Raw genomic sequence first — 13,973 nt, forward strand, 5'->3', positions numbered from 1 at the left:
ACTCACATTAAGCTCTTGGTATACTGTGAGTTGTGACTATTGAATACAATAAAACCCAAGAACTGCATTGATTCTGAATAGTAGGTGTTGTCCAACAGACTTGAATATATTTTTGAATGTATTTTATGTTTTACAATTGAATGCCAAAAAGAGTTTCTTTTCTTCTTTCCCTGCCTAAATAAATGCTTTGTTTGCCTCTTTGTGTCATCAAATGACAGAGAGTACATGGCGCCAGTTTGAATTCAGGGCAGGCATTTATTGTCCTTGTTACTTGACTGTGACGTTTTTAGGTTTCTTTCCGGAGAACTAGCGTGTCTTCTTCAGACATTTAAGCTGAAATCAAAGTTCTGGACTTTTCTCCAAAGAAAACATTGCTTTATTGCTTCCCCCACCTTAATTATAAAAATCAAAATACATGCACCCATCAAAAAATACAAAGAAAGCAAAAAAATAGCCTGCAGGCGCACCACCCTAGAGGTCAATATTACCTGCATTTCATGAGTATTTATTAGTACTTTTCAATGTTAAAAGCTAAGCATTTAACATTCATTAGTTTATTTAATCCTCAGAACAGTTCTTTAAGGGAGATATTGCTATTAACCATACTTGGTGGAAGAAGAAACTGTGACTTAGTTTCTTGAGATTTTATAGCTAGTAAATGGCAGAGCAGAAATTCAAAGCCAGACCTGCTGAACACCTCAGCTCATGCTTTTAACAATGTCTTTACTCTGTGTTCCCCAAATCTGCATCTGCACATGTGCCTGTACACATAAACATTAACTGTATCATAGTAATTCTGTTTAGTAGCCTTTTTCTTCACTCAGCAATATGTCTTGAATATTGCCCATATCTAAATACCTAGAGGTTTGTTGCCATTTTTAATGACTTCATAGTTTCCCATTGTAGAGATGTGCCATAATCTAACCACTCCCTTATTGATGAGCATTTAAGTGCTTAGAGGTGGTGATGTGACAAACACAAATTGTGTATTACATTGTTGCACATGTATTTAGTTACTCAATTATGTCCTTAAAATAATTCCAAGAAATGGAATTGCTGTTTCAAGGGAGTATTCACATTTAGAGTTTTGGTACTGATTGCCTGACTGCCCTCAAGTATGTTGTGCCAATTTGAGATGCTGTGGCTCTTATATGTTCTTTCTGTAAGGGACATTTTGAAACTTTTTAGACAGTTCACGCAACTGTTTGGCTTACAAAAAAGGTGACGCCCCCCGCCCCCTTTTTTTTTTCTTTTGTGACAGAATCTCGCTCTGTCGCCCAGGCTGGAGTGCAGTGGTGCGATCTCAGCTCACTGCAAGCTCCGCCTCCCGGGTTCACACCATTCTCCTGCCTCAGCCTCCTGAATAGCTGGGACTACAGGTGCCCGCCATCATGCCCAGCTAATTTTTTTGTATTTTTAGTAGAGACGGGGTTTCACCGTGTTAGCCAGGATGGTCTCGATCTCCTGAGATCGTGATCCACCCGCCTCAGCCTCCCGAAGTGCTGGGATTACAGGTGTGAGCCACCACGCCTGGCTGACCTTATGTTTACAAATAATGCCTGTAATAACAACAGAATATATTTCATTACTTTCTTATTTGACGTCTATGCTCTAAATGCTTTTTAGAGCCGTCACTGCATGACTTGCTACATTTACCTTAGAAAGTTAAAAATTCTAGTGCTGTGGACCTAATAGAAACTGTTTTACGAAGCTTCATCATAAATTTAGGATAAGTAGGTCCCGAATTTAGGTCTCCTAGTAGGTCCCCTCATTTATCAATTAAAACATTTTTATTATCTTTTTTTTTTTTTTTTTTTTTTTAAATTGAGACAGAATCTTGCACTGTCGCCTGGGCTGGAGTGCAGTGGCATGATCTCAGCTCACTGCAACCTCTGCCTCCCGGGTTTGAGTGATTCTTCTGTCTCAGCCTCCCAAGTAGCTGAGACTACAACTGCCTGCCACCACGCCCGGCTAAGTTTTGTACTTGTAGTAGAGACGGGGTTTCACCGTGTTGGCCAGGATGGTCTCGATCTCTTGACCTTGTGATCCACCCGCCTCGGCCTCCCAAAGTGCTGAGATTACAGGTGTGAGCCACCACACCCGGCCCATTTTTATTATCTTATATTCATGGTGGTCAGCACAAATGGATAGATAAAATGGGAAAAATGAGTAACCCCTGTATATTTGTTTAATTTCACAAAGCCTTTCCATCTCTCTTTCCCCTTGATTTTATTTTATTTTTTGACTAAGTAATATATTTACATGATTCAAAACTCAAGAGATATTAAAGGGTAAACACACTTTGGGAGGCTGAGGTGGGCAGATCACCTGAGGCCGGGAGTTCAAGAACAGCCTGGCCATGGCGAAACCCTTTCTCTACTAAAAATACAAAAATTAGCTCGGTGTGATGGTGGGTGCCTGCCATCCCAGCTACTCGGGAGGCTGAGGCACAAGAATCGCTTGAATGGGAGGCAGAGGTTGCAGTGAGCCAAGATTGCACCACAGCACTCCAGCCTGGGTGACAGAGTGAAACTCGGTCTGAAGAAAAAAAAAAGGGTATATAATGAAAAGTTTCTCTTCTACTTTTGGCCCTCATCCACCTAGCTCTTTTAGGGAAAGCCAGTGTTGTTATCTGGCAATTGTTACATGGTTCTTGTGAATTCTTTCAGATATATTTTATGCACATATAAGCAAATGTAGAACCATTTTCTCAATATGTATAAAACGTCTTTTTAAAAGTTCTGCAGGACAGTGGTGTTATTTTTCAACCCAAGATGGATAATCTTGTTTTAAAAAGTGTGTAACTCCCTTTGTGAAACTGGCCATCATAGGAACCAGAGACCTAGAATTGGACTTGCTTTCATGGTGTGGTTCAGGGATTGCAAACACGGAGTCCTGATACTTCAAAAACAATTAGAAATAATTGTAAAAAGGAGTAGTGTTGATGGTGATGAGGTGGATACAGAGTAAAAACAGCTGCTTCCCCCGAGAGAAGCCTGTCCAGGGAATTGGTTTAGGCTGCTTAGCAGGGAGTCGCTTTTACTTCTTGCTCGAGTGTTGCAGTGCTTTTCTGATGGCTCATGTGATCTTTGGCTTGGGCTGCATTTCAGATACTCTGAGTATTTGAACCCTGGGCCAGGCAGTTGGCAGGTGGTTGCGTGATCTGATCTTAGAGGACATTGCTTTGGAATGCATTGATTTGAGGTGCGTTAGTATGCACTCTGTGTGCCCACAGGTTGCACCTCCTTGCAGGGTTGTTCCTGGGGAATTGCCAGACCTCTATTTTTTCCCATTTGGAGATACCACATACTCATTAAAGAGAATTTGGAAAATACAGAAATGTTGAAAGAGCAGGGGAAATCACCTATACTATTACCCAAGGTTGACCACTATTGATGTTTTTACGTGTGTCTTTATTTTTATATAATTGTGATTGCATGCAGTGATTCAATTTTGTAAACTGCTTTTTCATTTATGATAAGCATTTTCCATGTCATTACAGAGCCTCGGCAAATGGCATTTAAAAAGATGGGCTAGTATGTCGGGCCTTTCTTAATCAAATCATACATATATGAATTTGGTCATAGACAGAGATGTCTACAAGAGCCAGCCAGGAAGTATAAATGAGCAAAGCATGCTAGATATGAAACAGGAGATAGTGGGGTTGGGGAAGATTCCTATTGCTGCCACTTGGGGTTCAGGTCAAGGGCTGTCAGATATTCCCATGTTTCCAGAGAAGTGGATTTTTTTTTTTAATATGAAATTGTTAGGCCGGGTGCTGTGGCTCACGCCTATAATCCCAGCACTTTGGGAGGCTGAGGCGGGCAGATCACCTGAGGTCAAGAGTTTGAGACCAGCCTGACCAACATGGAGAAACCCCATCTCTACTTAAAAAAATACAAAATTAGCTGGGCAAGGTGGCGCATCCCTGCAATCCCAGCTACTTGGGAGGCTAAGCGGGGAGAATCGCTTGAACCTGGGAGGCGGAGGTTGCAGTGAGCCAAGATCATGTCGTTGCACTCCAGCCTGGACAAGAGTAAAACTCCGTCTCAAAAAAAAAAAAAAATTGTTGTTTTTTTGAATTAAAAAAAAAAATTCAGGCCTGGTGCAATGTCACACCAGTAATCCCAGCACTTTGGAAGTCCAGGGTGGGTGGGTCACTTGAGGCTGGGAGTTCGAGACCAGCCTGGCCAACATGGCAAAAACCCAGCCCTACAAACAGATACAACAATTAATTGTGCATGGCGGCCTGAGCCTGTAATCCCAGCTACTCAGGAGGCTGAGGCGGAAAATCGCCAGGGAGGCGGAGGTTGCAGTGAGCTGTGATTGCGCCACTGCACTCCAGCCTGGGTGACAGAGTGAGACTCTATCTCAAAAAACAAACAAAACAAAAATTCAGAGAATAATATAAGAAATAGAATCAGCAAAGTAAGGGAAATGTTATAAAGCTTGAAACCTTCCTGTTTTTGTTTTTTAAGAGAAAGGATAAAGTATTACAGATAAAGTTGAAATATCCTTCCCATCTCTACTCCCATTATCCATACTTCCCATTGCCCAGTTTGGGCAGCCACTGTCATAAATTGTTATATATCCTTCTATCTCCCCTCCCCTCCCCTCCCCTCTCTTCCCCTTCCCTTCTTCAGAGACAGGGTCTCACTCTGGAGTGCAGTGGTACAATCGTGACTGACTGTAACCTCCACCTCCTGGGCTCAAGTGATCCTTCCACCTTTTTGGAGTAGCTGTAGGTAGTAGGCCACCACACTGGGCTAATTTTCATTTCTTGTAGAAATAGGGTCTTGCTCTGTTGCCCTGGATGGTCTCAAACTTCTGAACTCAAGTGATCATCCTCCTACCTCAGCCTACCAAAGTGCTGCAGTTACAGAGGTGTGAGCCACTGCACCCATCCTATCCCACTTTTTAGTACTTATACATACATAAATGCAAATCCATGAGCACCGTATTTTTTTGTAAATTCCTAATCGTAACTGTCACTCTGCAGCTTTGTTTCTCACTCAGCCTATTTATTTATCCATGTTAAATCTGTAAGCCTAATTCAGAGATTGGCAAACACTTTCTGTAAAAGGCCAGATAGTAAATATTTTAGTATTGTAGTCCATATTGTCTCTATTGCAACTACTCAACTCTATTCACCTCTATAGTTAATGCAGCAGTAGATAATATGTAAACTAAGGAATATTGCTGTTCTAATATAACTTTGTTTACAAAACCAGGCTCTGGGCCAGATTTGTATCCTGGACTGTAATTTGCTGACCTCTGCTCTAATTTATTCCTTATAACTTGTAACTACTGAATGGTGTGTGTGTATATATATATATATATATATATATTTTTTTTTTTTTTTTTTTTTTTTTGAGACAGAGTCTTGCTTTATCACCCAGGCTGGGGCACAGTGTCGCAATCTCAGCTCGCTTGCAACCTCCGACTCTTGGGTTCAAGTGATTCTCGTGCCTCAGCTTCCTAAGTAGCTGGGATTACAGCGCATCGCAGCATGCCCTGCTAATTTTTGTATTTTTTAGTAGAGAGAGGGTTTCGCCATGTTGGCCAGGGTGGTTTCAAACTCCTGACCTCAGATGATCCTCCGGCGTCAGCCTCCCAAAGTGCTGGGATTATAGGCGTGAGCCACCACACCCAGCCATATTGTCTATAATATGAATATATCATATTTTATTATTCAATTCCCCTATAAATGGATGTCTAGGTTGTTTCTAGATTTTTTTTGTTTGTTTTTTGGGACAGGGTCTTCCTCTGTGACTCAGGCTGGAGTGCAGTGGTGTGATCCTGACTTGCTGCAGTCTTAACCTCCTGGGCTTAAGCAATCCTCCTGCCTCAGCCTCCCAAGTACTGGGACTATAGGCATGTGTCATCACGCCTGGCTAATTTTTAAAGATGGGGTCTCCTTCTGTTCCCAGGCTGGTCTCCAACTCCTGGACTAAGGCAATCCTCCTGCCTTGTCCTCCCAAAGTACTGGGGTTATAGGTGAGAGCCGCCACACTGGCCTGTTTTGTTTTGTTTTGTTTTGTTTTGTTTTGTTTTGTTTTGTTTACAGATAGTGTCTCCCTCTGTCACCCAGGTTGGAGTGCAGTAGGGCTATTATGGCTCACTACAACCTCCAACTCCTGGACTCAAGGTATCCTACTGCCTCAGCCTCCCAAGAAGCTGGGACTACAGGTATATTCTACCACACCCAGCTATATTTTTTAAATGTAAATTTTTTTTTTGAGACAGAGTCTCTCTCTGTCGCCCGGGCTGGAGTGCAGTGGTGCGATCTCCACTCACTGCAAGCTCCGCCTCCCAGGTTCACACCATTCTCCTGCCTCAGCCTCCCGAGTAGCTGGGACTGCAGTCGTCCACCACCACGCCCCCAATTTTTTCTGTATTTTTTTAGTAGAGACAGGATTTCACCGCGTTAGCCACAATAGTCTCCATCTCCTGTCCTTGTGATCTGCCCACCTCGGCCTCCCAAAGTGCTGGGATTACAGGCGTGAGCCGCCGCACCCGCTGATTTTTAAAAATTTTTTTGTAGAGATGGTCTCACTATGTTCCCCAGGCTGGTCTTGAACTCCTGGCCACAAAGAATCCTCCCACCTCGGCCTCGCAGAGTGCTAGGATTACAGGTGTGAGCCACTGCATCCAGCCTGTTTCTAGTTTTTCTACTGTGATAACCATGCTGCAGGAAGCAATCTTGTCCATGTTTTCTTGTGCACATATGCAAAGCTTTTTACTAGGATATACATAGATAGAGAAGTGGAATTGCTGAGGATTTTGTTGTTGTTGTTGTTGTTGTTGTTGTTGTTTATTTTTACTTTTGGAAACAGGGCAAGACCTAGCACCAGGCTGGAGTGCAGTGGTGCAATCATGGCTCACTGTAGCCTTGACTTGGGCTTACGTGATCCTCTCGCCTCAATCTCTCGACTAGCTAGGACCACAGGCAAGCGGCACCATGCCCTGCTAATTTTTAAATTTTTGGTGGAGATGGAGGTCTTCCTATGTTGCCCACGCTTCATGGTCTTTTTTTTTTTTTTTTTTTTTTGAGACAGAGTCTCACTGTCACCCAGGCTGGAGTGCAGTGGCGCAATCTCGGCTCACTGCAGCCTCCACCTCCTGGATTCAAGCAATTCTCCCGCCTCAGCCTCCCAAGTACCTGGGACTACAGGCACATGCCACCACACCCAGCTAATTTTGGTATTTTTAGTAGAGACGAGGTCTCAAACTCCTGACCTCAGGTGATACGCCCGCCTCGGCCTCCCAAAGTGCTGGGATTACAGGTGTGAGTCACTGTGCCCAGCCCATGTTTTATTTATTTATTTATTTATTTTTGAGACGTAGTTCTGCTCTTGTCAACTAGGCTGGAGTGTAATGGCGCGATCTCAGCTCACTGCAAACCCTGCCTCTGGGTTCAAGCAATTCTCCTGCCTCAGCCTCCCGAGTAGCTGGGATTACAGGCGCCCACCACTATGCCCAGCTAATTTTTGTATTTTTAGTAAAGACGGGGTCTCACCGTGTTGGACAGGCTAGTCTTGAATTCCTGACCTCAGGTGATCCACCTGCCTCAGCCTCCCAAAGTGCTGAGATTACAGATGTGAGCCACCATGCCAGGCCCATGTTGTTTTAAATACCAGGTGGGCCAAATGAAATGTTTTAGATAGAATGTAACCAGTTTGTGACCTCTCTCTTACGCTTTCCATAGGAAGCCAATAGTTACTGAGAATCCAATTCATACCTAGTTCTGGACTTTGAGGTGAGACTCTATGACAGCTAGCAAGGTGAGGATGCGTGAATCTAAACACAAAAGAGTTGGAGAACGGTCTGGAAGAGTGTGACTGCCGTGACAAATGTGCATCTGATTTCCTCAGCAGATAAAAGAGTTGAGGTTGGGGAATTACTCAATTTTTCATGTTCAATAACCATTCAAACAGTGGGTGTTAACATTGAATGACAAGTTCTAGCAGAAAAGGTCTTCAGGATGAAGGCGATGAGCTGCTGATCTGTGCTTCCTTCTTTCCTGGCAATTCTGTGAGTTTCTTTAAAGATTTATCACTCTAATTAGACCCACTGGAAGAATAACAAAGGTAATAAAGAAAGAGTATCAGGGCATCCTTCCAAGAAAACTCTCTCCTTTGAGGAAGACCCAGAATAAGATTTTAAGCCTTGGTGGCAGGAAATTAACTTAGTCCATTTTCCTGAAAGAATATGTCAATAATACATGACTAGTTCAGTCTAGCTGGGTGAGTTCAGAAAAGAAATGGTGTTCTGTGTTCAGAGTTGAGGAGATTTAATTAAGGGGACTCATGCTTTGGGAATTCCTTCCTTTTTAAAGATTTTTAAGATTAATGTAGGTCATTATCATTCCTTTGTTTCTATCATTTTGGAGAGCTCAAAAAATATATGGAGCTATTACAAAGCAGCTGAACCTCAAGGTCAGCTTGCTGCAGGCTTTCTTTCTTCTTTCATAGGCTTGGAGCCCCATTGTTTTGACAGGTAAAAGTCGGACAGCTCCGCCTTCTCAGAAGTCTGTAATGCAGAAGAATCAGTCCTCTGCACTGACCTGTCTCCCTGTCCTGCCCTGCCATTCTGTTTCTCTTACTCTATCAGGTCTAGGATCTTGTCTGGCAGGCTCGTGCACTGAAACAGAGGTCTTCCCAGAGGATATCAGGGGCTGGGATTTTCCCTTTGCACCTAGATCAGCTTTGGCAGGCGTCTGTTGAAATGGAGGGAGAGACAGGCCGTAGCTCATGAGCCATTCCCCTGAAATGAAAAGACGCAGGAAACTGGCCATTCTAACATCTGTCTCTTTCTTCCCATCTGGCAAAATTCTAATAGCATGTAGAAGAAGTTTGTCCAACCCGCGGCCCAGGATGGCTTTGAATGTGGCCCAACACAAATTTGTAAACTTTCTTTAAACATTATGAGATTTTTTTTGCAATTTTTTGTTTAACTCATTAACCATCGTAGTGTTAGTGTATTTTATGTGTGGTGTGGCTCAAGACAATTCTTCTTCCAGTGTGGCCCAAGGAAGCCAAAGATTGGACACCCTTGATCTAGAAGATAATGACTACATTCCTGAAGGGCTTCCTTTTGCATAGTTTTCTTTACACGGCTTGAGATTTAGTTCTTATTGAACATCAATTAGGTATTTAGATCTCAATTTAATCTGAATTTTTTTTAGGATGATTGTTACAAACTGAACAATAGAAATGTTATTTTAGAGTGGGCGCTGTGGCTCATGCCTGTAATCCCAGCACTTTGGGAGGCTGAGTGGGGTGGATCGCCTGAGGCCAGGAGTTCCAGACCAGCTTGGCCATCATGGTGAAACCCCATCTCTACTAAAAATGCAAAAATTAGCTGGACCTGGTGGCGGGTGCTTGTGATCCCAGCTACTTGGGAGGCTGAGGCAGGAGAATTGCTTGAACCCGGGAGACACAGGTTGCAGTGGGCCGAGATCATGCCACTGTACTCCAGCCTGGGTGACAGAGCGAGACTCCGTTAAAAAAAAAAAAATGTTAATTTAGGCTGGGTGCAGTGGCTCAAACCTGTAATCCCAGCACTTTGGGAGGCCAAGGCAGGTGGATCACCTGAGATGAGGAGTTTGAGACCAGCCTGGCCAACATCTCTACTAAAAATACAAAAATTAACCATGTGTGTTGGTGGGCACCTGTAATCCCAGCTATTCGGGAGGCTGAGGCAGGATAATTGCTTGAACCTTGGAGGCAGAGGTTGCAGTGAGCCAAGATTGTGCCATTGCACTCCAGCCTGGGTCACAAGAGCAAAACTCAGTCTCACAAAAAAAAAAAAAAAAAGAAAGAAAAAGAAATGTTATTCTAGTGATGTTTAATGCATAAAATTAGGCCTCATCCTTAATCTCTGGAATGACCCTCTGACAAGGGTTTTGGATGAATCTGTATTGTTATTTTAATCTAGCTTTGTATTAGTTTACAAAGTACTTCCACCCTTATAAGCACCTCTTAGTCTCATAATCATCCATAAGAAAGAAGAATTATACCTATTTTTTCAGATTTACAGAAAACGGGTTCAGAGAGGGTAAGACGTCTTCTGGATTTCTTCATTCTAGACAATAATATTTTATTACATGTAACAACTAGAAGAAATATGAAAAGCAACTTTTTGTGTTTCCACTTGCTTAGCAGCAGAACAGTCTGTGAAGGGCAGTGGGGGAATATGTTGATGCTGTCTATTTATTAAGCCACAGCATATATGCCCAAGTGGCCCATCACTGCTTCACCTTCTCCCACCATGGGAGAATGGCAGGAAATAAGTCATTCTCACAACTAAAAAGAATACTGCTGTCATTGTTCTGCATATTTTTTAAAAATTGCAATTGCATATATCCTTTGATTCAGCAATTCCACTTCTAGGAATTGATGCTTACAGATACACTTTCCCACACATGAATGATTGTACGTCCTAGGTTTTTCACAGCAGAATATCAGAAACAGCTGAAGTGCATCTGCAGCAGTGACATAAATTATGGTGCATGCATGCAGTAGAGTATGATGCTGCTGTTGCAGAGAATAAAGCAGCTCTGTATTTACCGAAGGAATGAACTCCAAGGACACTGTTTATTATTGTATATAATATGTTTGTGTAAAAAGGGAGAGGATAAATGTGTATTAATACATATTTGCTTATGTATCAATGATTTAAAATCTAATAACACTTGTCTGTGAGCAGCAGAACAGGGTGGCTAGAGAGCAGGTCACAGAGAGAGAGAGAGAGAGAGAGAGAGAGACCTGTCACTGAAGAGCCTTTTGATAAAAAAAAACAGCCAGGCATGGTGGCTCACGCCTGTAATCCCACCACTTTGGGAGGCTGAGGTGGGTGGATCACCTGAGGTCAGGAGTTAGAGACCAGCCTGGCCAACATGGCAAAACCCTGTCTCTACTAAAAAAAAAAAATACAGAAATTAGCCGGGCATGGTGGTGGGTGCCTGTAGTCCCAGCTACTTAGGAGGCTGAGGCAGGAGAATTGCTTGAACCCAGGAGGTGGAGGTTGCAGTGAGCCGAGATCGCACCACTGCACTCCAGCCTGGGGGACAGAGGGGAGACTCTGTTTAAAAAACAAACAAACAAAAAAAACCCAAAAAAACATGAATTACATGTTTTTAAAAATCCCTGCACTTAGTCAGGTGTGGTGGTGTGCACCTATAGTCCCAGCTACTTGGGAGGCCGAGGTGGGAGGAGATCACTTGAGCCTGGGAGGTCAAGGCTGCAGTGAGCTGTCATCACGCCACTGCACTTCAGCCTGGGTGACAAAGCGAGACTGTCTTTTAAAAAGAAAATTTAAAAATCCCTGCACTGAGATTTATAGGAGTTTGGGGTCCTCATATATACCGGTAAAGTACTCTGACCTGCTTACTACCTACCCCCACCCAAAGGACCCATTTAATCCTTTCTTCTGCTCCCTGAGTTTTCCAGCACCAAATGAAACTCTGTCTCTTTTTGTTTTTACTTTATAAAATTTTAACACTCCCCCACCTTTTTTTTTTTTTTTTTTTTTTTGTGTGTGTAGATGGAGTCTTGCTCTGTCACCCAGACTGGAGTGCAATGGCACAATCTTGGCTCACTGCAGCCTCCGCCTCCCAGGTTCAAACAATTCTGCTGCCTCAAGTAGCTGGGATTACAGGCACATGCCACCATGCCCGGCTAAATTTTTGTATTTTTTTTTTTTTAGTACAGATGGTGTTTCACCATGTTGGCCAGGCTGGTCTCGAACTGCTGCTCAGGTGATCTGCCCTCCTTGGCTTCCCAAAGTGCTGGGATTACAGGTGTGAGCCACCACACCTGGCTCCATTTTCTTATTTGCATTCCAATTCTATTAAATTTATTGATTGATTTTGTATTTTTAGTAGACCATGGTGGCAGGTGCCTGTAATCCTAACTATTCGGGAGGCTGAGGCAGGATAATTGCTTGAACCCAGGAGGCAGAGGTTGCAGTGAGCCGAGATCACGCCATTGCACTCCAGCCTGGTCAATAAGAGCAAGACTCCATCTGAAAAAAAAAAAAAAAAAGAAAGTTATTGCCGGGTGCGGTGGCTCATGCCTGTAATCCCAGCACTTTGGGAGGCCGAGGCAGGCCAGTCATGAGGTCAGGAGATCGAGACCATCCTGGCCAACATGGTGAAACCCCATCTCTACTAAATATACGAAAAAGATTAGCTGGGCATGGTGGCATGTGCCTGTAATCCCAGCTACTAGGGAGGCTGAGGCAGGTGAATCGCTTGAACCAGGGAGTCGGAGGTTGCAGTGAGCCAAGATCACACCACTGCACTCCAGCCTGGCAACAGAGCAAGATTCCGTCTCAAAGAAAAAAAAAATTATTGATTGAATGAGTGCTTTTTATGTAATGCATTATACCACATCCTTATTTATTTGCACACATTTTGCACAAGCCAGTTTTTATTAATGATTGTGGGATTGAAAAGTATTATTAGCACAAGCTAGGAAATTCTAACACTACAAATGAGTATACTGTGAAAAGTTTTTCCTCTTTTTTTTTTTTTTTTTTTTTTTTTTTGAGACGGAGTCTCGCTGTGTCACCAGGCTGGAGTGCAGTGGTGCAATCTCGGCTCACTGCAATGCAACCGCCACCTCCCGGGTTCAAGCAATTCTCCTGTCTCAGCCTCCCAAGTAGCTGGGACTACAAGCTTGCGCCACCATGCCCAGCTAATTTTTGTATGTTTAGTAAAGACGGGGTTTCACCATGTTGGCCCAGATGGTCTTGATCTCTTGACCTTGTGATCCACCTACCTCAGCCTCCCAAAGTGCTGGGATTACAGGCGTGAGCCACCACGCTCAGCCTTTCCTCTCTCTTTAGGCTTCTGAGTCTCCTGGGCCCATAGTTCCCGTGCTAAAGCTGCTACTGTTACTACCTTTAGAAGTATACTTCTAACAATATTGTATTCATATCAAGCATATAACATGCATATATCCCCCCTTTTCTTATGTAATGTTTGTTTTTTAAATAGAGTTTATTTTTAGAGCAGTTTCAGGTTCCCAGCAAAAATAAGCGGAAGGTACACAGATTTCTCACATACCTCTGCCTCCACACATACAAAGCCTCCCCCATTATGGACATCTCCTACCAGAGTGGTACGTTTGTTATAAGCAACAGACCTGCATTGACACATTATCACCCAAAGTGCATAATTTACATTAAGGTTCATTCTTGGTGTTATAGCTTCCATTTTTCACACTATGTAAACTATACTGTACACACTGTCACCTACTTTTTTCACTTAACAACATATCTTGGTATAGGATTACATTTAGATTACCACCTTCTTTTTAATAACTGCATAGGATTCCACATATATGGAATATATTTAATTTAATCAGTCTCCTCTTGATGGGAACCCGGGTTGCTCACAATCTGTTGCTCCCACAATAAATATCCTTATGTATATGTCATTGTTTAAAATCTGTATCTCTAGGATAAATTCTTAGCAGTACAATTGCTAGTTCAAAAAGTATATGCATTTTAAATGTTGATGGGTAGGTCCAAATTGCTCTACCCAGAGGTTGTAGTATTTCAACAGGTTATAGTAGTTCAAGAGAATATAAGACTTTTTTTCATTTGTTTAAGAAAAGGTTTTTTTGGGAGGCCGAGGTGGGTGGATCACGAGGTCAGAAGATCGAGACCACAGTGAAACCCTATCTCTCCTAAAAACACAAAAAATTAGCTGGGCATGGTGGCGGGCACCTATAGTCCCAGTTACTCGGGAGGCTGAGACAGGAGAATGGCATGAACCCAGGAGGCGGAGCTTGCAGTGAGCCGAGATCGTGCCACTGTGCTCCAGCCTGGGTGACAAAGCAGGACTCTGTCTCAAAAAAAAAAAAAAAAAAGGAAAATAAAAATAGTGACCAGCCTGGGTGGCTCACGCCTATAATCCTAGCACTTTGAGAGAATGAGGTGGAGGGATCCCTTGTGGCCAGGAG

The 13,973-nt window shown here is 43.1% G+C and overlaps 1 protein-coding gene across 3 annotated transcripts in view; it reads left to right on the top strand.

Moving 5' to 3' along the window:
* The window catches only part of KIF3B (kinesin family member 3B), a 57,361-nt gene that overhangs the window by 16,406 nt on the left and 26,982 nt on the right, over window positions 1-13,973 (top strand). Inside the window, exon 1 of one of the 3 annotated variants that reach the window (XM_047440589.1) lies at window positions 7,714-7,891. The exons of the other annotated variants lie outside the window; for them this stretch is intronic. The gene's annotated coding sequence lies outside the window, so the exon portion shown is untranslated. Of the gene's footprint in view, window positions 1-7,713; window positions 7,892-13,973 lie in introns of those variants that run through there. 3 annotated transcript variants of the gene reach the window in all.

Source organism: Homo sapiens, chromosome 20 (genome assembly GCF_000001405.40).
Source record: "Homo sapiens chromosome 20, GRCh38.p14 Primary Assembly".
In the NCBI taxonomy this organism is placed as follows: Eukaryota; Metazoa; Chordata; class Mammalia; order Primates; family Hominidae; genus Homo; species Homo sapiens.